Below are 25,659 nucleotides of genomic sequence, written 5' to 3' on the forward strand. Positions count from 1 at the left end.
CCCTCTGCATATCAGAGTAGAAAGAGACTACCAGATTTTCTTTGAGTATTTAACCCAAGCATCCAAGAGCAGAAGTATCATATATCTGAGTCTCACAGAAAAGGCACCTAGAAAAAAGTATTCTCAAATTTGAAAAAGCCTAATTGGTTATGATGTTGATGTTTTGTGTTTATATGCATTTCTATATTTGGAGCTAGAAACACAAGAGAGAAACGTGACAAAGACAAAAAGAATAACCTCTATCAAAAAGCAACCCTGTCACTAGATGTATTTGTCTCAAAGAATATTGAATTCTACCTGTATTCATTAGATAAATGATAGAAACTAAGGGAAAACTCCTGGCGATGTAAAAGAGTTTTGATTTTTGCAACATGCCTCTAAAAAAACCCAAAAGTGACCCCTCAGTAATGGGATGGGACAGACTTTTAAAATACTTCAGAGATCTCTAGCAAGTACAATATTGTTTACTTCAAAATCCCAGTAAACTTGAGGTTAATATGTCTGGATTATAAGGTTCAAATGTGATATAAATCAATTTAATGTTGTTTTCAACTTTCTCTTGGAGTCAAGGCATCTTTTGTGTTTAGCACCTATAAATAAAAGTAAATGCACTATCCAACCACAGTTATTTTCTTCATTTATTTGCTGTTGCTTATTTGTGATGTTATAAGCCAACTGGGATGGGTTCTGTGTTTTGGAAGCTGAAAACAGGTTGGAAATTGCCATTCAGCCATCAGCCCAAAGTCCTTAAGGTTAATTTTTTGTTTGTTTGTTTGTGTTTTGGAGATAGGGTTTCACACAGTCACAAATGCTGCAGAGCAATGGCATGACTGCAGTCTCAAACTCGTGGACTCAAGCAATCCTCCCACCTCAGCCTCCTGATGCTTGGCTAATTTTTAAATATTTTGTATAGACAAGGTCTTGCTAAGTAGCCCAGGTTGGTCTCGAACTCCTGGCTTCAGGCAATCCTCCTGACTCCACTTCCCAAAGCGCTGGGATTACATGCATGAACCACCCACCCAACCTGAAGCTAACTCTTAAATAAGAGGATAAGAAAAACTGACTAGAAAAGAAAAATATCCATCCTAAGAATTTCTCCCTTTGTTTAAAGACAAAAAATGAAAAGAAAGAAAGTAGGTTTGGGTATATTGATAGGTATGCTGAAATAGGTCTGGCTTTAATAACGTGATCATGCTTAAAATGATTCTCTCTGAATATAGCTTTCAAGTCCCTTGCAGCTCCAGCTTTCACATCATTAAGTCCACTGAATTTCCATGTTAGAACATCAGGACTAATCTAACATTACAAGAAGTGTCTGCAGGGTGTAGAGCAGTCACATGACTCCAGAAATACAATGTGAACTCTATAGGTTTAAGCCAAAAATGTATGCCAGGAGCTTTAAAATTTTTTTAAATGCTTTAAGGCTTTTTAAAGTACTTATTGTAACTAGATGCTGCCACCTACTGGACAATTTACAAGTGCCTGAAACTGTGCTGGCAACAAAAAATTATACAGGAAAAAAAGGCAAAATTTTCCTGTTTTCCTAATAATACTTATAAAAATATCTTATTTAGAAATGTATGGCTATATATGATTGATTAAAATAATTTTTAAATTTTTATACATTTCTAATTAAAACAGTAGCTGAGATCTAATGAGTAATGGGAAATTCATTTCATTGTAGAACAGATGAAAGTAGCTTCGTACCACCTTATGATAGTGCTTATGTTGAAATACCAGGAATATGAGACTTTCAAAAAATCCGTGGCATGAGGTCAAACTGGACTGTTGTGTTTCTAATTATTTCTTTCATACTTGCAGTGAAAATATTCTGCTAATAATACCAAGTTTAAGCTGATTATTCCAAAAGTTTCCTCTTTTAGAATAAGGTAATAGTTATGTAGTCCAAAAAACAAATTAATATAATTAGGTTAATAATGCAGCCTAAAGTAAATGCTAACTACTTTTTTGTTTTTAAGAATTTAAAAAAAACAGATATGTGTGGCAATAAATGACTCCAAAACATATGTCTATGAAGTAAACAGCAAGCAGGAAATTTCATTAAGGAATTTGGCTTTTCTGTAAAAGAACAATCATCAAAAAAAGATTCTAATTAAATCTGAAGAAGCCAGTAATACAATAATGTTACCTCTTCATTTTGGTGAACTGGTCAAGTGTGAACTAATTAAGACAGTCAGTAGCAAGAGTGAAGTGCAACAGACATCTGGTTCACCTAACAGTATCTTGTATTCCCTTTTCCTTTTACGTTGACCCTACTTTTGCATCTTACCTGCTTTGCACACACTGCCAATACATAATAACTAAGAAGTCTGAATCTAAAAATTGAAGCTTTAATAATGTCATCATGTTTAAAACAATGATTCTCTCTTAACATAGCTTTCAAGCCCCTTGCAGCTCCAGCTTTCATATCATTAAGTCCACTTAATTTCCATGTTAGAACATCAGGACTAATCTAACATTATGGGAAGTGTCTACAGGGCCTACAGCAGTCACATAACTCCAGAAATACAATGTGAGCATAGATTTAAGTCAAATATACGGGCCAGGAGCTTTAAAAATTAAACATATTTGACAGTTTTGATTTGGTTTTGAAAAAAGGGCAACTGAAAACAAATGTCTTGCCTTCCAGGACCAAAAGTTCACTGGGTAGTGAACTCTGTGACCGAAAAGCTTAATGTTAAAAGGCCACCATAGATCCACTTACAGAGTGGCCTGTCTTACATTGCTTGCTCCAGAGTCAACCACAAGCAGGTTTGGTCTTTCAGAAAAGCCCTACCCACTAGAAAAATCAGTATTTGACTCCTGGTTTCCAAACTATAGACATTGAGATACTATAATATCCAGAATCTCATTCCTGACACTGTCCATGGATTTTTTTGAGGGGGGGGAATAAGGGGTATAGTCTCATTTCTATGAAGGTATAGAATTACTGATAAACATTGAATGAAATATATTAGTAAGTTGTACTTTTCCAAGCAGACTACGTTCATATACTGGTCTTTAGACATTTAAATAAATAAAAAAGCAGTTCATAAGCTATAGCTTTAGAGGTGCTTTTACAATCTCTTTTTTAAAAAATAATGTAGTCATTGCTAAACTCAGAAAAAAAATAGGTTTGAGAAAACCATGTTATTCCAAAATACTGCCCCAATAAAATATATTACAAAGACACAATAATCAAAATAGAGTGGTATTAACATCAGCACAGACAGAAATTTTAATGGAATAAAATAGAAAATCTGAAAATAAACCCAGTTCCTACACGATAAAGCTAGCATTTCAAATAAGTGGGGAAATGACAGATTATCCAATAAAGGGTCTTGGAATAGCTGGTTAGCAAATTGGGGGAAAAAAACAAAATCAACTCTCTAACTCATATCTAATACCAAAATAAATCTCAAGTGGGTTAATATTTAAATTTTTTCATTAAATTATAACTGATGAAAGGAAAATATATATTTTTTATACAATCTTGAGACATAAAAGGCCTTTTAAAGCAGAGTACCAATGAATGATAACATAAAAGAAATGACTAACTAGAGCAAGAAATGTCACAAAATTAAAAAAAAAGTTAGAAAAATGCTTATGGTGTTTGTGACAAATAATTAATATCCTTAATATTAAAAAAGTCTTTCAAATCAATAAAGAATACCTCACTTTATAAAAGAGACTAAGACATGAGTAGGTAACTCACAACTTAGCTAAACCAAAGAATAAATCTATAACCTCCCTGATAATCAGAGAAATACAAATTATTGTGATTCCACTTTAAATAAACAAAGCTTAAAAATAACTACAAAATCCATCGTTGGCATAGAAAAATAATATTCAGATACAATGTGGGTAAGAGTCTAAATTGATTTCAATAAGTCAATGTGAATAAAAATCTTGTGAAAGTCCAACCCTGGACTAAGTATTTCTCTTCTAGGAATGTATTTGAAAGTATACCCATTTTCTATAGCGGCCCTAACAAATTACCACAAACTTGGTGGCTTCAAACAACAGAAGTTATTCTCTCACAGTTCTGGAGGCCAGAAATCCAGAATCAAGATGTCAGCAGGGCCACGTTCCCTCCAGAGGTTCTAGAGGAATTTCTGTTCCTCCCTCTTCCAGCTTCTGATGGTTGCCAGCAGGCTTGAGGCTGCATCACTCCAATCTCTGCCTCCGTCTTTGCAGCACCTTTTCCTCTTCCTTATCTACCTCTTCTCCCTCCATCTCTTTCTGATAAGGCTACCTATGATGGAATTTAGGGCCCATCTCAATATTCCAGGACTTAATCACATCTGCAAAGACCCTTTTTCCAAATAAGGTAACATTCACAGGCTCTAGGGATTTGACATAGATATCTCTTGGGGGATTGGGGTGGATTTTTTTCAGCCAACCACAGAAGGTAATCATTGCAATAATTGACTAAGGATGTCACTGCAACATGTGTAATTTAAAAAATTGAAAAACTAAGGGAATAATCTAAATGTTCAATAGAAGGGTATTAGTTAAACAAATGATGGCACATCCATCTAATGAATTAATATATAATCATTAAAAATAATGCTGATGCACATTGTTCCAGTTATCTATTGTTGGATTACAAAATCACCCAAATCTAGTGGCATATGGTAAAAATTATTGCAGGCAAGATCTACTGATTGATGCTGAAATTAGTAGGTGAAAGCTGGAGAAGAAACAGGATATTTGCATAGTCTTAAAGCATCTCCCCCAAGATATGTATTAATTGTAAAAGAAAAAAATAGTAATTTTACAGTGCAGAAAACCAGCAGACACCATCTTAACAAAGTGATCAAGGTGAAACATTACCAATAATAATATATAACAGCATTAGGTATACCAAGTGTGATTGACTGAGAAGGGCACATAACTTCCAGAGTATGCTTGCCAAAATTCATAACTTTCATCTAATCATGAGAAAACATCACATAAACCAAAACTGAAGGACATTTTACAAAATAGCTGACCAATACTCTCCCAAAGGGTCAACATCACGACAGACAAGGAAAGACTGAGGAACTATCACAGATTGGAGGAGATTAAGGAGACATGACAACGAAATGTAACATGGGATCTTGGATTGGATACTAGTAAATAAAAAGGACATTAGTGGGAAAACTGGTAAATTTTTAAGAAAGTCTATACTTTAATTAATGGTATTATACCAATGTTGATTTCTGAGTTTTGATCACTATGGTTATGTAAGATTAGGAGAAGCAGGGGGGAAGGGTATATGGAATTCTGTACTACTTATGCAAGTTTTCCATAAATTTAAAATTATTTCAAAATAAAAAGTAAAAAATAAAACTTAATGGCATACAACAAATATGCAGAAAATGTTCAACCTCACTAATCATTCAGGAAATACAAATTAACCACAATGAACTATCATCTCACTCCTGTCAGAATGGCTCTCACCAAAAACACAAAAGATAAATTGTTGGTGAGGATGTGGATTAAAGGAAACCCTTGCAATCTGTTGGTGGGAATGTAAATTACTACAGCCATTATGGAAAAGTGTATGGAGGATCCTCAAAAAACTAAAAATAGAATTACCATATGATCCAGAAATCCCACCTCTGGGCATTTACCCAAAAGCTTTGGAATTCGTTTGTCAACGAGATGTCTGCTCTCCCATGCTCACTGCAGCACTACTCACAATAGCCAAGTTATGGAATAACCTAAGTATCCACCAACAGATGAATGGATAAAGAAAATGTGTTGTATAGACACCATGGAGTACTTTTCAGTCTTTAAAAAGAAGGAAATTCTATCATTTGCAACAACATGAATAGAATTAGAGGACATTATGCCAAGCAAAATAAACCAGACACAAAAAGACAAATACTACATGTTCCCATTTATATGTGGAATCCAAAACAATTGTACTCATAGAAGCAGAGTGGAATGGTGGTTACCAGAAGCTGGAGGATGGGAAAATGAGAAAATAATGGCCAAAGGGTACAAAGTCTCAGTTAGACAGGAAGAATAAGGGTTTTTCTTTGAGATCTATTGCACGGTGTGGTGAATATCATCAATAAGGATGTATTGTACATTTCAAAATTGCTAAGAGGCTAAATTTCAAATGGTCTCACCATAAAAGATGTTAAGTATTTGAGGTGATGGATAGGCGAATTAGCTTGATTTAATTATTCTATATTGTATTCATAAATCATAATATCATTTTGTACCCCATAAATATAAATTGTCAATTTACAATAAAAATTTTTAAGTTAATGGCATAAAACAGTGAACACTTTATTATGCTCATGCTTCTGTGGGCCAGGAATTTGAGGGACACAGCAGGAACAATTTATCTCTGCTCCACTATGAATGGGGCCTCAGATGGCTGGGTAGCTCCCTTTGGCTGGAGATGCCTGGAGCAGGTCAGGGGGCCGTATGTCTAGTCTTGGTTATTCTCTGCATTGTGTTTAGTGGAGCTGAAATGTCCAAGCTTGCTCTTTTATTCAGTGTCTGCATTGAAACTGTTGAACAGTCAGTGTATCGGTTTCCTAGGGCTGCTATAACAATTTATCACAGGCTGGGTGGCTGAAAACAACGGAAATTTATTCTCTACAGTTCTACAAGATATCTGAAATCAAGAGATATCTGAAATCAAGGTGTCAGCAGAGCATTCCTTCCGAATGATTCCTTGGGTCTTCCTAGCTTCTTTTGGCTTACAGCAATCCTTGCATTCCTTGGCTTGTAGCTACATCCCTCTATCTTCACACAGCCTTCTTCCCTGTGGCTCTATGTCTCTTTGTGTCCTCTCCTCTTTTTTAAAGGCCCACCCTAATCCAATAGACTTCATCTTAACTAAGTCTCTGCAAAGACCCTGTTTCCAAATAAAGACACATTCCAATGTTCCAAGTGGACATGAATTTGAGAGAGACATTACCAAAATCACTGTAGCCAGGAACTGGCCACCATCATCTTCTCTCTGCATAGCCCCTTCATATGGCTTGCTTGGGTTTCTCACAGCATGGCAGCCTTGGGTAACCTGACCTCTTACATAATGGCTGGCTTTCCTCTGAGTGAGCATTCTAAGGGAAGCAGAAACTGCCTGTTTTCTTAAAGACAAGGCCTGGAAATGGCATAGTATCATTTTTGCTGTAATATATCAATCAAAGTTGTTCCAGGATAGCCAAGACTGAAATGGGAGGGAAACATGGACTCCATCTCTAAATGAGGAGGAGAATGAACACAAATAAAGGGAAGGAACTAATGGCAGCCGTTTGGAAACAAACTACCACACACATCTATTATTGACAGGTAAAGGTGCTCGTGAAATACAAATTAGTGGGGGAAAGGTTACAAAATACCATATACATATATAATTTGATCATATTTTTATTCTCAAAATATATACATGGATATTTGCATTAAACACATCTCAAAAGATAAAGAGTAAACTAAAATATTAATAGTGGTTATCTCTACAAGTTGAGAATTTAGCTGATAGTAATTTTTTTTGTTTAACCAATATTTTCTTATATAGATTATACATGTGTTACCTCCGTAACGAAACAGAAGATGCAAAAAGTAAATGATCTATGAATTTAATATAGGCCAGACTAGTATTTTTTGATGTTTCAACTAGAATATACAAAAATACAAAATGTTTCTAATCCCTAAAATTTTCACCATCATATAAATGGGTTAAAGGTTACATGACTCCATAATATTTCTGTTTTCAAAAAGGAAGATTCACAAATATACATACAAACAAAGGAGAAAGGCAGAAATAAATATGCAGAATTGGCTCATCTCAAAAATATAGGACTGTGAGAGACCAGGAAATAGGACAAATCGGTCATAGATTTTAACAAAAGGAGTTCCACAGGCTCATAAGCAGTTAGGGAATTGTATGCAGAAAGTGGGGTCTAAAGACACCTAAAAGAGACAAGGAAGTAAAGGCAATGACATACTTTTGTCTATTTCCCAGTTTGTCCCTGCCCTGTCCCCCTTACCATCAAGCAGACACAAACACTTAAAGACACCAAAACATACCTAAGCTCGGAGTAGTTTCATATAATCCTACCTAATGTGATCAATTATTTCCCTAAAGAACAGTCAAACTCACAAAGAACAGGACAGAAAAACTGGATTGGGAATTTTACTTTAATCCAAATATTCCATGACTCAGATAAAAACAAAGTTGAATGACATCTCCATCTACTCACCAACAGTTTCTTCAGAAACAGCAGTCAAAGATAAAAATTTTTTTGTATTTTCCATCTCCTCTTTACTTTGCCAAGCTTCACTATATTTTGCAGACTAATGAAAGGAAAATTAAAATTTAAACATGGGAAAAGAAGGCAACTATAATCATTGATTTTTTAAACTCCAACACGGCTCCCAATCACATACGTACAAACGAGAAGTCTCAGGCTATTTTTTTTTTTGAGGAAATCTGTAAATCTCCTCTGTTCTCACAAAATTCTGTCAATGGGTATTCCCAGATAGAGTCAGAGTATATGCCTATCATTATATGATAATTACTTTGCTTAAAGTATCATAAGTTTCTGCTTGATATTTTTATAATCTGTGAGTAACCTAAAGATACACCATAAAATTTAAAAATTTCAGACATTTCAACATTGTTACTATGTTTTATTATGTTTCCATTTATAATTCTTGCTTCAAAGGAAATAAAAACTTGCTTGAGATTCAGTAGGAAAAAGTGATAGGCTAACTTTTTCTGCTAAAATTTCCAGAAACGATTTCTCCAGTTTAAAGCATTGCATTTTGGATGTTTCTTTCTTTCCATCCCAGTGGACTTCCTGGGAACCTCATAAAAATGTATTTTTAATTACTACATTTTTAATTCACATTATTGCCTAGGAAACTTTCCCAGAAGTCAGTCAACTGTTCAAGGAGGACTTTATCAAAAATAACCAATCTCTTATGACAAGGTTCCTTACCTTAAAGGTGCTTTCCTTTGAGGGTCAAAATTGAAATATGAGCCAATGGCTATATACCAAGTCAATGCCAACATCTAGTCAACTTCAAGCCCTCAATATTATAGAGAATAAGAGGTCCAAGAAGGCCAAGGAAAGTTCATTGAGCACCAGGAATTTGTTGAGACAGAAGCAAATGAAGTATGGTCCCAGACCTCAAGCACTTCACAGCTTCCCAAAGATCTTGACCAGCACAGGAAACAGTCAACTCCCCAAAACTTGTTTGTCACAAAGGTTTACCCAAATAATAAAGCTAACCAGAGGGTTAAACTGTGTCTATTTATCTCCAAACTATAAGGCTGCTGAAGAAAAAGCAGATATACATACTTGATGAAAGCAGCTATTACACCCCTTCCTATTCCAGAGATGGAGGGGCCCAGCACTTTACCAGCCTGCTGCTGGTAAGAGACATGGTACCCTGGGCCTGTCCCTGGGGAGATGAACACGCCAGCGCAGTGCTTGAAATCTGAATGTTGCAGACCAAGTTTTCTTCTCAGGTTCCAGAAAAATATCACCCCATGACTCCTTCATATACACACATATACATACCACTGCCACTACCTCCACAAAATAAAGCAATCAAGGCAGGCCACAGTAACACCATGGTCCATGATTTTCTTACTCATCTTAGAGGAAATTCTTTCTTTTTTTTTTTTTTTTTTTTGAGTGTCTTGCTCTGTCAGCCAGGCTGGAGTGCAGTGACATGATCATAGCTACTGCATAGCATTGAACTCCTGGGCTCAAGGGATCCTCCCACCTCAGCCTCCCAAGTAGCTAGGGCAACAAGCACGTACTACCATGCCTGGCTAATTTTTTAGGTTTTTTTTGTACAGATGGGGTCTCTTTATGTTGTCCAGGCTGGTCTCAAACTCCTGGCCTCAAGCAATCCTCCTGCCTCAGCCTCCCTAAGTGCTGGGATTACAGGTGTGAGCCACCATGCCCAGCCAGGAGAATTTATTTCTTACATGTCAGCATAAGGTTAGATAATTCTTACCTTAATTTCTTCCCACAGCTTTATTCTCATTTCTAGACCTTGCTTCTTAATTTCTTTTTCTCTGCGTTGTTTCTTTGCCAATATTTTATCAAGTTTTTTCATCTTCTGAATAGCATCTTGAAGTTGAGAATCTAATTCTTTTAATTTGGGTTCATCTATATTGTGTTGAAAGTAAAAATAGGTTTGAAGTATAGTAAAACTATAAAGTTTTGTTTTGTTCTTACAATTTGTTCTTTCATTCAACAAATATTTATAGCTGATAGTAATAACTACTACATTGGTACCATGTATCTCAATTTACAAGGTGCTTTCACATGTGTTTGTCTATATAATTATCTAACAACCCTATGAAACAGACATTTATCTCTATTTTACAGTTGAGATAACTGGGTCCTTTCAAATATGTAACAAATTATAGCACTGGACTCAGAAGTGATCCTCGTGATTTTAAATCCCAAATTCTTTCTCCTTCATTCTGTTATACTTTCTATGTTCATGACTAAAAAATAGGAAATAAGGAATAAGACAAGAATCCTGTCCTAAAGCTGCTTCAGACTAACTGAAAGAGAAGGCGTGTACACAAATGGCTACAGTAGAAAGCCGTAAGTCTTCAGTGACACAAAGTGGTTGCAACATATAGAAAGAAAAAAACTCAAAACAAGTACTCTATGTAGCTTGTATCTTTTTTCTATGCTGCTTCTTTTGTTCTAATTTCTTAAAGTACAATTGATAGTCACTTATTTGAAATTAAGGACTCTTTAGAACTTCTGTCATTAACTTATGATTAACGATAATAATAACTAACATTTATAGAGTTACCTGATAGGCACAGTTTTAAGTGCTTTATTTTTAAACTTTATATCATTTAATGCTCATATTAACCCTCTGAGGTGGTATAATCACTGTTCTCATTTTACAAATTAGTAAACTGAAGCTAATTTTTAACTGAGTTACACGTATGTCCAAGGTCATATAACTGGTAAATGCCAGTCAGGTTCCACCCAAATCTGTCTGACTGCAGAGCCAAAGTTCTTAGCCTCTTAGCCACAGATAATATTCTCTCCATTTAAATCTGATGAAAGCTGATAATCCAGCAATGAATGAGCATGAATGCTCAAACAGTAAGTCTCAGCCACCCCAGATTAGATCATTAGAAGTGGCATATTGTGCTAAGTAAGGCCAAATTTATCAACTTTTGAAAACCCAAAGGGTTAAGTGATGTTTCTCTATAATGTGCATCACTTCTTCTTCTTCTTCTTTTTTTAAGAGACAGGATCTCATTCTGTCACTCAGGCTGAAGTGTGGTGGCATGATCATAGCTCACTGCAACCTCGAACGCCTGGGCTCAAGCAATCCTCCCACATCAGCTTCTGAACAGCCAGAGCCAGGACTACAGGTGCATGTCACCATACCTGGATAATTTTTTAAAAAAATTTTTGTAGAGATGGGGGTCTCACTATGGTGCCCAGGCTGGTTTTAAACTCCTGGGCTTAAGTGATACTCCTGCCTGGGCCTCCCAAATGCTGGGATTACAGGTGTGAGCTACTGCTCTCAATTCCATCATTTCCTCTTAGAGGAAAAAAAGAAAGAGGAAAGCAACTTATCCAAAAAGGATATTATTAATAAGGAGGTTCCTTGAATCTTATTGCTTATGTACTTCAAAAGCAACACCTTCTAGTTCTCATTCCCAACTGCCAATCCTAGCATTCTCAGGCTCCGTGAACATAGGTAGTCTATATAGCGGGCATTTTGAAGTAACTCATGCAGTACTAAAACAATATAAACAAATCCAATGTAAACTGTGTCAGCAGCTAATTTCAATTATAATATCTTTGAGACAGGAAGGGGACAGGGAAGTGCTGGGTAGAGAAAGGTAGAGTCCCTGGCGAGGGCTCCACCCTTGGGCCTGTGCCCATGGACCTAAGTGAGAACAGGCACTCCTATTTTCATGCCCAAATGTTGCATTTTCCAAGCCCAGTCTGGCCTGCCATGCCCCCATCCTGTGCCCATATAAACCCGAGACCTTAAGCGTACAAGACACAAGTGGCTGGACGTTGAGAGGAGCAGAGGAACACACCAGCAGACACTGGCAAACCAGTGACTACGGAACGATGCAGATGCGAAGGTGAGTTCAGCCAGAGGCAGTCAGAGGACAGTTCAGCCACTGGGCAGCCTGACTCCAGGGGAAGACCACCTTCCCACTCCATCCCCGTTCCAGCTCCCCATCCATCTCACTGAGAGCTACCTCTACCACTCAATAAAACCTTGCACTCATCCTCCAAGCCAACATGTGATTCGATTCTTCTGGTATACCAGGGCAAGAACCCAGGATACAGAAAGCCCTCTGCCCTTGTCATAAGGCAGAGGGTCTCATTGAGCTGATTAACACAAGCCGCCAGCAGACGGCAAAGCTGAAAGAGCACACTGGAACACTCCCACTTGGGATTTGGGAGTTGTAAACACTCACCCTTAGACACTGCCATGGGATCAGAGCCCAAAAGCACTCCCCATGGCCTCTGCACCTGCTCATCTGCCTGCCCCCTCTAGGGGTTTGAGCAGGGAAGCACTGAAGAAGTGAGCCGTACCCTTGTCACACGTCCTTCAAGGGCGATAAGGGAAATCTCCCATTCCACTTTGTTTCCTGAAAACCATAATCCTGAGTCACCTGACCTAACAGTGAGAGTTGATCTCATCCCAAACATACTCTAAATCACAGCTCTCAAACTTTTTCTCAGCTCCCCTTTACGGCCTTAAAAATAGTTTAACTTTTCTTATGTGAGTTATAGCTATTGATAATGAACATATTAGAAATCAACACTGAAAAGTAAATATTTACTTATTAATTCACTTTCAAAAATAAAAAACATGCTATTACTAATTATGTTAACATAAGTATCACATTTTATAACAAATAACTATATTCTCAAACAAATTAGTGAGAAGAGTGGTATTGTTTAAATTTGTAATATCTGGATGAAGGGAAGACAGGTGGATTCTCATATTCTCATAGGAAGACAGTCATCCTATTGTAATCTGTTGTTTTGGCTAAAGTATATGCAGAAAATTTGGCCTCACACAGACAAGTGGTTAAAACAGGAAGAAGAAACTTAATAGCCTATTCAGATAATTGGACAGTCTTCTTTGATACTACACCAAAACTTAACAGGGGTGGTTTCCTACAGGTTAACTGTTAAGTGAAACCTGTAATCAAATCAGTGAGCTTTATGTATTTGTTCCATTAAAATCCATGGATCTATATTTTACATTGAATGGATCTTTTATCCTACATTAATCATTTGGAAAAAAGTGGTTAACTAAATTATGCAGACCTTCAACCTCTTAACACATTTCATTACACAACGGCATCAGTTAATATTGCCACCAATTTTTATAAGAAAAGTCTAAGGGCCGGGCGCGGTGGCTCACGCCTGTAATCCCAGCACTTTGGGAGGCCGAGGCGGGCAGATCACGAGGTCAGGAGATCGAGACCATCCTGGCTAACACGGTGAAACCCCGTCTCTACTAAAAATACAAAAAATTAGCCGGGCGTGGTAGCGGGCGCCTGTAGTCCCAGCTACTCGGGAGGCTGAGGCAGGAGAATGGCGTGAACCCGGGAGGCAGAGCTTGCAGTGAGCCGAGATCGCGCCACTGCACTCCAGCCTGGGCGACAGAGCGAGACTCCGTCTCAAAAAAAAAAAAAAAAGAAAAGTCTAAGTACTGGAAAGCTATCAACCTCACAGTGACATATGCAGTTTTCCAAAACTGTAATTTTCACTTCAAAGCTCAAATTTTACCATTGGCAACAAATACTGTCAGTAGTTATCCTCGAAGTAACATGTTTATTTTCTTAAAAAGAAGTCTACCAGATACCCATCTGAATGAGAATTGTTTGTCAGTCATTCTTTCAAGTAAAAACGGTGTTCCATTATAAAAGTGGCCAGTTCAGCTCTCAACTCCAACCATCACAAAAGTACTTTTCTTCAACACAACCTCAAACTTCGGTACACAGCATAATTGCTTTATGTATACTTCCCATTTTTCCCCACAGGATGTTAAGAAGATGCATATTTAAGGGTCAAAATTTCATAAAATTGATAGTTTTTACTGATTCATAGCCAGTGACACTGGCTATGTCTTTTTCCTGCCAGTGCCTGGTTGCAAAGAATACAATGACTACTAGTACATTTTGGTGCCATTGTCCTGATTCATGATAAAGCACCAGCAATTTTGCCCACCATTCCTTTTATACCATCAGTGCAAATGTCAGTATGGTGGACACAAAGGCAAATAGCATCTCAGCATTACTATGAAAACAGCTTTTACCTTGCAGAGCCCCTGCAAGGGTCTCAGGGACACCATCTCCCACCATACCCCCAGGGCTCTGCAGACCACTTTTTGAGAAACACTATTCTAATTCAATCTGACTAGAATTAATTTACCAGCATAAAAAATGTCATCTTTGAAAATCCAAATGTTATTGGGTGGGACTATCCCTATAAATTAGAGCATATATTATATTGTACAATTTTAGTCATCAAAAAATCAATAAATTGCATCAAAAAATGCAGAAATACTCCCTACTTGATTAATGCACAATGACCACAATTTTATTAAATGACATATTTTGTTATATTTCTAATATATTTAAGGGCTCTTAATATTGTTATAAATAAAAAGTGATTGCTTGCTCACAAATAGTCTATGTCTTTTTTTTGGTTTATTATTTATATTTAGTTGATAAAAACACAGGTAATACTAACACCTTAAATATAACATTTGTAATAATCATTAACATTTGTAATTATCATTAGCCAATCACCTAGTGATTATCCTACCTGAACACTCAGAGATTATCTGATGTTGAACCAAATCCAGATCTTCATCTGATCCCTCTTCAGCCAATTTTATTTTCTCAGAGCAGCTTTCCTGCTTATCATCATTACTAGTTCTTCTGTTCTCTGTATTACTGCTTTCGGAGTGGTCCTCTTTACCAGAGTTCAAGTTGCTTGCAGTATCGACCTAAAAATAATTTCAAAAAAAAAACAGTTTCCGAAAATACTGTCTTTTTTTAAACTTTACATTTCTAGAATATTTTGACACTAATGGAAGCAGATGGAGAATGTACATAAATGCATACACTAGCATTAAAGTATTCTAGAAATATAACACTCTAATTAAATGTAATTTAACTACACAATTCCATGTAATAACATTTGCACCATTCTCCAGCAATCCCTAGCAATAATGGAGAAGAGTCTACATCAGTCCTGAAGGGAACTGCTATCTGCCGGGCTCTGGGATAAGGCAGACGGGCCTGCTCCTTGAGCTCACACTGGGATGGGCAGTCAAAGGTCTAATACGACAGCCACTTGCCACATGTGGCTACAGAATGGTTGAAAAGTGGATAGTCTGAGTTGAGATGTGCTTTCTAGGGAGAGTCTCCTAATCAGAACCCTGTGCTTTGGTCATTTATTTATTTCTATGTTATTCACAGTTTTTCTATTTCATTTTAGTTTCCCTTTATATTTTAGCAAAGTTCATTTTGAAAACACCAATTGACACAGCTGTGTTTTCCTAAGAGAGAACAGAAAAGGACCTCCATGGCCGGGTGAGGGAAAAGCAGGGATCATAGGCCCTGGGGTTTGTAAACTGTGATGAAAATCACTTCAGAAGTTAACACAGCCCAAGGGAGACAGGAAAGACCTTAAAGAGAGAGAGTCAGCCCTTTCTCAAAGAAGCACCTTTCCCCTCCCAACAGAGAGACTGTCTCCTCCAGCCCATCTGCTCTCAGCCCTCTGTAGGTTTTGTGTTTTCTCTGCACCACATGTTCAACTCTCCACCACAATCTGCAGTCCCCTCGTGAATCCCCAGGGTGGAAGATGGACAGTGCTGAGAATGAAACTGCCAGGAATGCAGGCCTGCGTGAGTATGTCCCTGCCTGAGCCAGGACATAAACCCAGCGGAACTGAGCTGACTCAGTGGTAATAATCATAGCCATCATTTATTGAAGAATTACTATCAGTCATGGCCTGCCTCATTCGCTTCCCACAATGACCCTATGGTGTAAGTTTCTCTACCATGAATTAACAGAGAAGAAAACAGACCTAGCAGAAAACGAAACTAGTGAAGGCCCAATTTATAAATAAGCAAAATAGTGTCTACTTTATGTAATCCAGGAGGTGGTTAAACAGGGTTCCCTGTTCAAAAACATATTTCTGCCAAATGCCAGAAAAAGTCTGTAATTCCACAATATCCAGTTAATCCTTAAGGCCTTCCGTCCTGTGAAAATGCTAACATTTCTGGGAGAAGTCACACAAGTTCTGCCTGTCATTTATATTGGTATAAAGCAACTTAGCAGACCTTCCTCTGCGGCTGGGTTTCACATGGGGGAATAAAGAATATACAAAACATAACTAGATGGATAGCACACTTCAGCGTACCCCAAGACCTTTCACATCCATCATCTCATATGATCCTAACTCAGAAAGAGCAGAAGGTAATGAGGTACAAAGGTGAAGCTGGAGAACTAGGCAAATTTCACAAATTTTCCCATAGTTTCCCACCCCACTAGCTACCAACTGTCTTCCCCAACCCATTGCCCACTGGCCTCTCTATTCCTAACCCCCTGCTCTTCTGCTCTGTGGCCTATATGCATGATTTTTCTCTCTTCCTCATTCTTAACATCACATCCCATCTCTGTATAAATATATATATACATTTGGACAGGGTCTCACTCTGTCACCAAGGCTGGAGTGCAGTGGCATGATCATGGCTCACTGCAGCCTCGACCTCCTGGGCTCAAGCGATCCTCCCACCTCAGCCTCCCTGACTAGCTGGAACCACAGGCGCATGCCACCACACCCAGCTAATTTTTGTATTTTTTAATAGAAATGGGATTTCACCATATTGCCTAGGCTGGTCTCAAACTCCTGGGCTCAAGCAACCCACCCTCCTTGGCCTCCCAAAGTGCTGAGATTACAGATGTGAGCCACCGTGCCCAGCCTATTTTTATTTTTTGAGGTGGTGTCTCACTCTGTCGCTCAGGCTGGAGTGCAGTGGTGCGATATCGGCTCACTGCAGCCTCCATCTCCCGGGTTCAAGCAATTCTTCTGCCTCAGCCTCCCGAGTAGCTGGGATTACAGGCACCCACCACCACACCCAGCTAATTTTTGTATTTTTAGTAGAGACGGGGTTTCACCATGTTGGCCAGGCTGGTCTCGAACTCCTGGGTTCAAGTGATCTGCCCACTTCGGCCTCCCACAGTGCTGGGGTTACAGGCGTGAGCCACCGTGCCCAGCCCCACCTCCATTTTTCATGGCTCCACTTCCCCCATTCCATACCTTTATCTTAATCACAGGAAACGCAAATACCTCATGAAACCCCTTACTAGTATTTAGATTCCTACTTGAAACCCATGGGATTTTTACACAAAATACAACTACTGGCTCTTTAAAAAAAAAATTAATAAGCAACAACAAGCCAAAATTTTTAGAATGAGAAATATATTATCACTAAATACATGTCACTAAAACACTAATATTTTAAGCTCATTTTCTGCTGTGAAAAAAATCTTTGGTAAGAATTTAATAAAAGACAAATCTGAGCAATAAAACTAACTAGCACACCAAGATTTATTAGTCAAACAATATGTAAGGTTTTCTAGATGCTGAATGATTTGCAATCAGCAGTCAGCATACAATATATTTGTAGCTTTCTTCCCCAATCTAAGGTGAACCTTACTGACTTTCTATGAACTTGATTAACACAAATCACAACTTTGAAAACTTTGCTTTCAATATAAGTGCCAAAGTCCAGATTGGCTAATAAATATTCTAGAGTTTAACCTGTAGCTTAGTAGGTTCAAATAAAATCTGAGTTTACGTGATCACTGATATTCTCCTTTTAATAAGTCTTGAATGAAGTAATATTAATCTGTGTATTAAAATATGTGTAAGTTATCAATATCATGAAGTTGCTGCTTAAAAAAATTGTCACCCAGAAATAAATAAGCAGGAATACTAATTCTATGCTACTCTAAAATTTGCAGCCTGGACAACATAGTGAGACCCCTGTCTCTACTTAAAATTTTTTAAAAAGGAAATCAGCCACATGTATTAACATGGATGAATCTCAAATGTATTAAGTATGCTAGGAGATAAAAGCCAGCGTGAAAAGCTACATACTGTATGATTCCATTTATACAAACTTCTGGAAAAGGAAAAAGAAGAGAGACAGGGAATAGATCAGTAATTGTAAGGGATTAAGGGTGACATGGGATTATCTGCAAAGGAATAGAATGAAAAAATGTTTTCAGGGATGATGGAACAAACTGCTCCATATCTTGATTGTAATGGTAGTTATATCACTCAATCTATCTTCCAAAACTCATAGAACTATACACCAAAAAAGTGAATTTTATTGTATGTGACTTTTTTTAACTAAAAATTAAAAGTTAATAGATCAACTGAGATACAATATTAATACATGACAAGATTTAATATCACAAAGTTAGAAATTCTCCCCAAATTAATCTGTAAAGTCAAAGCAATTTCAATCAAAACCCCAACCGGATTTTTCAGAACTTAAAAAACTGATCTAAAGCACATATAGGCCAGACGCAGTGGCTCATGCCTGTAATCCCAGCACTTTGGGAGGCCAAGGCATGTGGATCGCCTGAGGTCAGGAGTTCAAGACTAGCCTGGCCAATATGGTGAAACCCCATATCTACTAAAAATAGAAAAATTAGGTGTGCCTATTGGTGTGTGCCTGTAGCCCCGGCTATTCGGGAGGCTGACAGGAGAATCACTTGAACCCAGGAGGCAGAGGTTGTAGTGAGCCAAGATCACACCATTGCATTCCAGCCTGGGCAAAAGAGCAAGACTCAAAAAAAAAAAAAAATACATACAGAGGAGCAAAAAGCCAAGGATAGTTAAGACAGTCCTGAAAACAAACAATATGGAAGAGCCACTATCAGATATCAGTAATTATTACAAAGCTGTAAGAGTTAACACACCATATAGTAATGATGCAGGACTAGATGAAACAAAACTATATTTTGTACAAAGTCACTTATAGCTAGGGTTCTGGACGTACGTTAGGATAATCCAATTAGATGAACCTGCACAAGATTTAGAAAGCAGATGTGAGGTAGAAGCATCGTCCTAAGTTCCTGATAGGAAGCTGGCAGAAAAATATCAAAGGCAGCCATCTCTGCATGTCTAGTCACCAGCTTTGTGGTTCTGAGGGACTTGTGGCAGTGGCGGAAGCAGCAGCAGCAACTTTCTGATCTCTGGATTACAGCTCTGGTGGCGTGACCTGAGAACCCATAATCCAGGTATAGCCCCTCCCTGAACTCCCTTTCTTGCTGGTCACCTGTTGATTTTGAGGTCTTCTGTTGATTTTGAGGAACTAAACTCTTTTTTGCAGTGGGGGAGGTGGAGGGGGAACACAGTTTCACTCTGTCACCCAAGCTGCAGTGCAGTGGCACAATCACAACTCATTGCAGCCTTGAACTCCTGAAATCAAGCTATCCTCTTGCCTCAGCCTCCCAAGTAGCTGGGACTACAGGCATGTGCCACCATGTCCTGCTAATTTTTTTAATTTTTTGTAGACTCAGGGTCTCACAATGTTGCCCAGGCTTTAACTCTTGTATTCAATCCCCTTCTGCTTGAAATACATAGAATGCTATTCCTGAACCACATCATGACAGACAGAATTCTAAGAGTTCCATAATGCAGAATCTAGTCTACAAACAAAAAAAAAATGAGTATGAATTCATTAACTTGCCAAAATTTTTCATTATAATGTTCAATTATTCATTTCCTAAAACCTTAAAAGAAATAAATGAGAAAACTAATGCTTTAAGTAAAAAAATCAAGTCTAGAAGTCTAGATATTTTAAGGAAAAAAAAGGGACTGCTGAAGAAAAAAAAAATAAGGTCACAGCCAGATAATATCTGATATGTTTTGACTCTGTGTCCCCACCCAAATCTCATGTCGAATTGTAATTCCCAGTGTCGGAGGAGGGGCCTGGTGGTAGGTGACTGAATCATTGCTGTTCTTCTGACAGTGTTCTCATGAAATTTGGTTGTTTGAAAGTGTGTAGCACCTCCTCCTTCACTCTCTCTCTCTCCTGCTCCAACCATGTAGGATGTGCCAGCTTCCCCTTCACCTTCCGCCATGATTCTAAGTTTCCTGATGCCTCCCCAGCCATGCTTCCTGTACAGCCTGTGGAACCATGCAAACCTCTTTTCTTTATAAATTACCCAGTCTCAGGTAGTTCTTTTATAGCAATGTGAGAAAGGACTAATACAATATACCTACCCAATATACATCACATGGCCTTTACCAAACGGTTTTTTTAAAATACTGAATCTTTTTGAGTAAGTGTTTTTAGTAAAAGTCAGTGGTGGTATATTAGATGTTGGAATACAAAACTTCCTTATAAAGAAAAAAAGAGTCGATACACAAGTTTTAACAAAGTACAGTGCAGAGAAATAAACCACACTCCAAAAAAAGAAAGGAAAAAAAGGAAGGTGGGAGGGAGGGAGGGGAGGAGCAGAGGGAGGGGAGGAGCAGAGGGAGGGGAGGGGCGGAGGGAGGAGAGAGAGGGAGGGAGGGAGGGAGGGAAGGAATGGAGTAGAGTTTTTTCATATTAATCTAGATTAAAATCCAAGAAATCTGCAAGTGCTCCCCAAACACACCGTCTAAGGAGAAAATTTAAAATGGGATGTTAACAACAACCTTAGTTTCATCAACTGCTGAGAGGTTGGGGAAAGGAGTTTAAATCTTTTCTAAACGTAAATTACCTTGAAGGATCCTGGTTCTGTTGAGAGCACCTCCAAAGAAGCATTTGAACTTCTGCTCCCAGGGCGTATTCTTGAATTTGAAGCTGGTTTTGAAATTCCATCTAGGTTTCCCTTTATAATATCCATTGAAATCCTGAAACAACAAATAAAATATTTAATACCAAGCGACTCGGATATTTAAATCTTTCATTAGTTAGTATTAATATCCAATTACTCAGAGGCTTTGTTTTAAAGATTATGTTGCTACTGAAGTCACACTTAAGGGTTCCCCAGCTTCACCAAAAGACATCTTGTGTACATGGATTGTTCAATCTTATGCCACAGTATGCATAAAATATACTGCCCAGGATGTTAGATACTGAATATGGCTAGAAGAGAACACAGAAGTGAATGCCATCTTGGTTGCTTCCTGGGCCTCCAGGAAAAAACATTTACATGTCCCTGGTCTTCCCCGAGGGAACACTCAGGGGCACCCGTCTCTCAAGCAAGATCCACTTCATCTTAATGATTTGCTAAGGCCCTCCTGCTACTTTCTCTTTTTTTTTGAAAATGAGTCTCACTCTGTCACCCAGGCTGGAGTGCAGTGTCGCGATCTTGGCTCCCTGCAACCTCTGCCTCCCAGGTTCAAGCAATTCTCCCTGCCTCAGCCTCCCAAGTAGCTGGGATTACAGGAGCCCGCCACCACGCCCAGCTAATTATAGTATTTTTTTTTTTTAGTAGAGACGGGGTTTCGCCATGTTGGCCAGGTTGGTGTCAAACTCCTGACCTCAGGTGATCCGCCCACCTCGGTCTCCCAAAGTCCCCCTGCTACTTTCTTTCGGTTTTGCCTTCTTTTTTCTAGCCTTGTCCACTCTAGTTCAGCCTTCTTCCCTCTCAGCTCTGATTTCTCCTCTCCCCCGTGGGGCTGCATTTTCATGGAGTACCTATCTCCAGGCACTGCTCTCATTTTATCAACCCTCCCCTTCTAAAACCCATAATTCTATTTCTGCCCTCTGAAGCAAGAGAACAAAACCTACTTCCTTTATTAAAGGACAGATTTTCATTATCTGGCTACACATTACCAATCTATTTAACTATTCTTCATGTGATATATCCACAGGCTTCTCACCACCCTGGCTGCTCTATAACTAGTGCTATTTCCGGAAGCAAGAAATACTAGGCAGGGTGGCATAAGCTACAGAGACACAGTGAGCGATGCAGGCACATTGATCCTTCCAAACTGTGTGGCTGACTAAGACCATTCCAGATCTGTCCTGTGACACTGGGGCAACACGCATGCTGAGTCAAATGGAAGAAAGAGGGTAATTCCAGCTTTTGCCCTCTCATACTCGGATTTACATGTGAATGGGTGTCTTCCAACAAATCCTTTCCTAAATTCCTATCAATTATACATTCAACCATAACAGAATGAAAAAGGCAATTGCCTCTACCCAACAATGTCCTTTTCTTACCCTACAAAATGACTCATCTTTCTTTTGCTTTTTTGAACAGCAGAGGCAGGGTCCAGAGAAGCTGTGGACACAGGAGAAAGCACAAATATAAACAACCTGAGGCTTCACCTAGGTACACAGAGCGATGTTACGGCTTGGCTTCCAACCATTCAAGGTGCCAAAGCTTATGTTTAAGAGATCAGGAGGTCAGCTCTTCCCATCTCAGCAGATGAAAAAAGCATTGATCTCAACATTATTCAAACTCTGCAAAAGAGTTTGGGCTCACTCAGGAAAGCACTGACATTATTATTGTGGGATGATGGATCACCCTGGCCCCTCACATCAAAACCAAAAAGCATAAGTCACCAAAAGGCCAAATGTCTTGTAAACGCCCTAAGCAGCCTGTCAAGGGAGACTTATTACAGCTTGCAGAGGGAGCAATGAGATGGAAGCATGCGCAGAACCGCATAATACATGTCAATAAAGGCACAGGCACAGGCAACCAACAATGACCTGGATCAGCTAAAGAGCTCCACAAATCTTTCATTTTGCTCTAGAAATAGGTCTGTTCTATTAGGTTCACTCCTGAAAATAATAAATTAAATAAAATGCAGTTCCTGAGGTAGGTGGGGACTCAATAACAGACTATCTTATGAATTTGGCCATCTAGAAAAAGGTATTGGTAAAGGGTATTAAAATTGGATCTTATAGATGTATTTAAGCATTTGAGAAGAAATTGCAACTGCCACAAAGAAATTCCACAAGAAAAATAAAGCATTGTACAAGAAAAAAGCAATCAATATGTAAATAGTTATAATTACGTAAGCATTGAATGTTGATTTAACCAAATATTATGCCTTAATTATATTGAGTGTTCGTGAGGAGTGCACAAAAGGAAGCGAGTAGTATCAGAAATGTAATCTGTTACCACAGGAAATCAAAGAGACTGTCCAGAAATTGATAAAGCCAAACAACAGTTAAACATAATACTTTAATAAAAGTAAAAACTAATTTTATAAGTAATAAAAAATATGAAATCTCTAACAGACTGGAAGGAACATAAAGATAAATTTATAAACATAAATGTAAAGATAAATTTCATAATTATGGAATTAATGACTTAGTAAGCGTGATACTAAGAATATAAATCAAAAAGGAAAAGACTAACAGATGTGGCTACGTAATAGTTAATGCTCTTGAATCTCAAACATGAAAAAGAACTCTAAGTGAAATTAAAAGGAACCTGAGAAACTGGGGAAATAAATGCAACAAAGATGATATACAAAAGGTTAATATATTCACATATTTATAGAGCTCTTACCAATCAGTAAGAAAAGAAAATTCTAATAGAAAACTGGGTAAAGATTTTAAACAGAAATGCACATATCAAAAAAAATAGAGAAAGACATACAAGTTGCCAATAATCCTGCTTTAAAAAGTCCAACTTCTCTTATTAAAGGAATATACACAAAGGGACCTGAAAGATGATGACACATCAAGGAAGTAAGAGTAGTGGGTTCTGGATTGGTGGGTTTCTGGATGTTCTTGTCCCCTTGCTTATCTGTATTTTCTGTTTTTCTATTAACTATATCTTGTATTTATAACTAAAGAATTCATTTATTATAGAAAGATCTCTAGAATGTACTAAAAGGTATTTGAAAAGAAATAAAAATCACCCAACATCCCACCACCCTGAGCTATACGCTATTGGTACATCTTTCCCATTTTTGCTCTGTCTTTTTCAACAAAATTGGACTAATGTGTTTTTCACCAGTACATAATGAGCATTTTCTTATGACATTAAAACACTTCAAAATAGAATCATATTTACTTCATGATACTTGATTAAATAGATTAGATATATGACCAGATTCTAAACTGTAACAAGTGCCAACTTATATAACATTCATTTCAAACAAGATTAAAGTTTTTCATAGAGGCTTCTGAGAAATGCAATCAACATAGATGATTTAAAGCCAAAATGGGGACATATGGCTGCTATAATTTGGTATTTTGAGGTGAATAAAAGAATCAAAAGAAAATGAATCCTCCTCTGTTTAGTCATTATGAGTAGCAAGACTTTAAAAAGTGGGACTGATTTAGTTTCATTATTTTTATGTCTAAAAATTATTTATGTATGGTCAGTTTTTTTACTTTATATATTTGTGTATCTGTAAGGAATACTTGCCCATGCAGAAAAAACATCAAATAATACAGGTGAATATCAAAATGTTTTAAGTCAAAATTCGGCTTATCCCAAGAATTAGTGTTAATAGAGACTTGCAGGTCTCATTTTTTTAGGCATATGCAAACCTTCTATCTTTTATACCCATCGACTCCTCCCCAACGCAGACACACATACAAATGGCATGGTGCTTTGCAACTTGCTTTTTCACAATTAACAATCAATTTTGGCCAGGCGCGGTGGCTCACGCCTGTAATCCCAGCACTTTGGGAGGCCGAGGCGGGCAGATCACGAGGTCAGGAGGATCAAGAACACCCTGGCTAACACGGTGAAACCCCGTCTCTACTAAAAATACAAAAAAATTAGCCGGGAGTGGTGATGGGCGCCTGTAGTCCCAGCTACTCGGGAGGCTAAGGCAGGAGAATGGCCTGAACCCGGGAGGCGGAGCTTGCAGTGAGCCGAGATTGCACCACTCCGGCCTGGGCAACAGAGCGAGACTCCGTGTCAAAAAAAGAAAAAAAAATTTATTTTATCTATTTTTCTATATCACCATTTATAGATATACGTCATGCTTTCAAACAACAGCATAATATCCCATAGATGCAGCACTTTTTTCATCAGTTCACTTAGGTGGTATATAGAATATTTGCTATTAAAAGCAATTCTAAAACTTGCTCAAAATGTATCACAGACCTAAAGTAAAACTTCACACTATAAAATTTTCTTTTTGTCGTTGTTATTGTTATTGTATTTGTAGTAAAGACAGGTTTCACTATGTTGGCCAGGCTGGTCTCGAACCCCTGACCTCAAGTGATCTGCCTGCCTCAGCCTGTCAAAGTGCTGGGATTACAGGGGTGAGCCACCGTGCCTGGCCAAAACTATAAAATTTCTAAAAAATACATGTGACTGTGGGTTAGGCAAAAATTTCTTAGATACAACATCAAAGGCATGATTCATAAAAGAAAATATGGATAAATTGGAAGGCATCAAAATTTAAAACTTGTAGTCTTCAAAAGATGTTAAGACAAGGAAAACAAAACCCAAAGACTAGGAGCAAATATTTGCAAAACACATATCTGACAAAGGACTCATATCCAGAATATATAAACAAGTATCAAGACTCAATAACAAGAAAACAAAGGATTTGGACACACACATCACCCCAGATGATGTACGGATGGCAAAAGAGCACATGAAAAGATGTTCAACATCATTACCCCTCAAAAAAATAAAATAAAAATCACAATGAGATACCA

The 25,659-nt window shown here is 37.9% G+C and overlaps 1 protein-coding gene across 7 annotated transcripts in view; it reads right to left on the reverse strand.

Annotated features, from left to right (window-relative positions):
* The window catches only part of FSIP1 (fibrous sheath interacting protein 1), a 185,402-nt gene that overhangs the window by 158,171 nt on the left and 1,572 nt on the right, over positions 1-25,659 (reverse strand). For 6 of the 7 annotated variants that reach the window (XM_011521305.4, NM_001324338.2, NM_152597.5 and 3 more), the window contains exons 2-5: positions 20,789-20,921; positions 14,817-15,000; positions 9,982-10,136; positions 8,211-8,304 (exon numbers count right to left, since the gene is read on the reverse strand). In XM_011521305.4, the coding sequence (XP_011519607.1) occupies positions 8,211-8,304; positions 9,982-10,136; positions 14,817-15,000; positions 20,789-20,914 (559 nt within the window). In that variant the 5' untranslated portion in view covers positions 20,915-20,921. Of the gene's footprint in view, positions 1-4,041; positions 5,382-8,210; positions 8,305-9,981; positions 10,137-14,816; positions 15,001-20,788; positions 20,922-25,659 lie in introns of those variants that run through there. The other variant, XM_011521311.4, reaches the window with a different exon arrangement.

The sequence above is a fragment of the Homo sapiens genome, chromosome 15, assembly GCF_000001405.40.
Source record: "Homo sapiens chromosome 15, GRCh38.p14 Primary Assembly".
Lineage (NCBI taxonomy): Eukaryota > Metazoa > Chordata > Mammalia > Primates > Hominidae > Homo > Homo sapiens.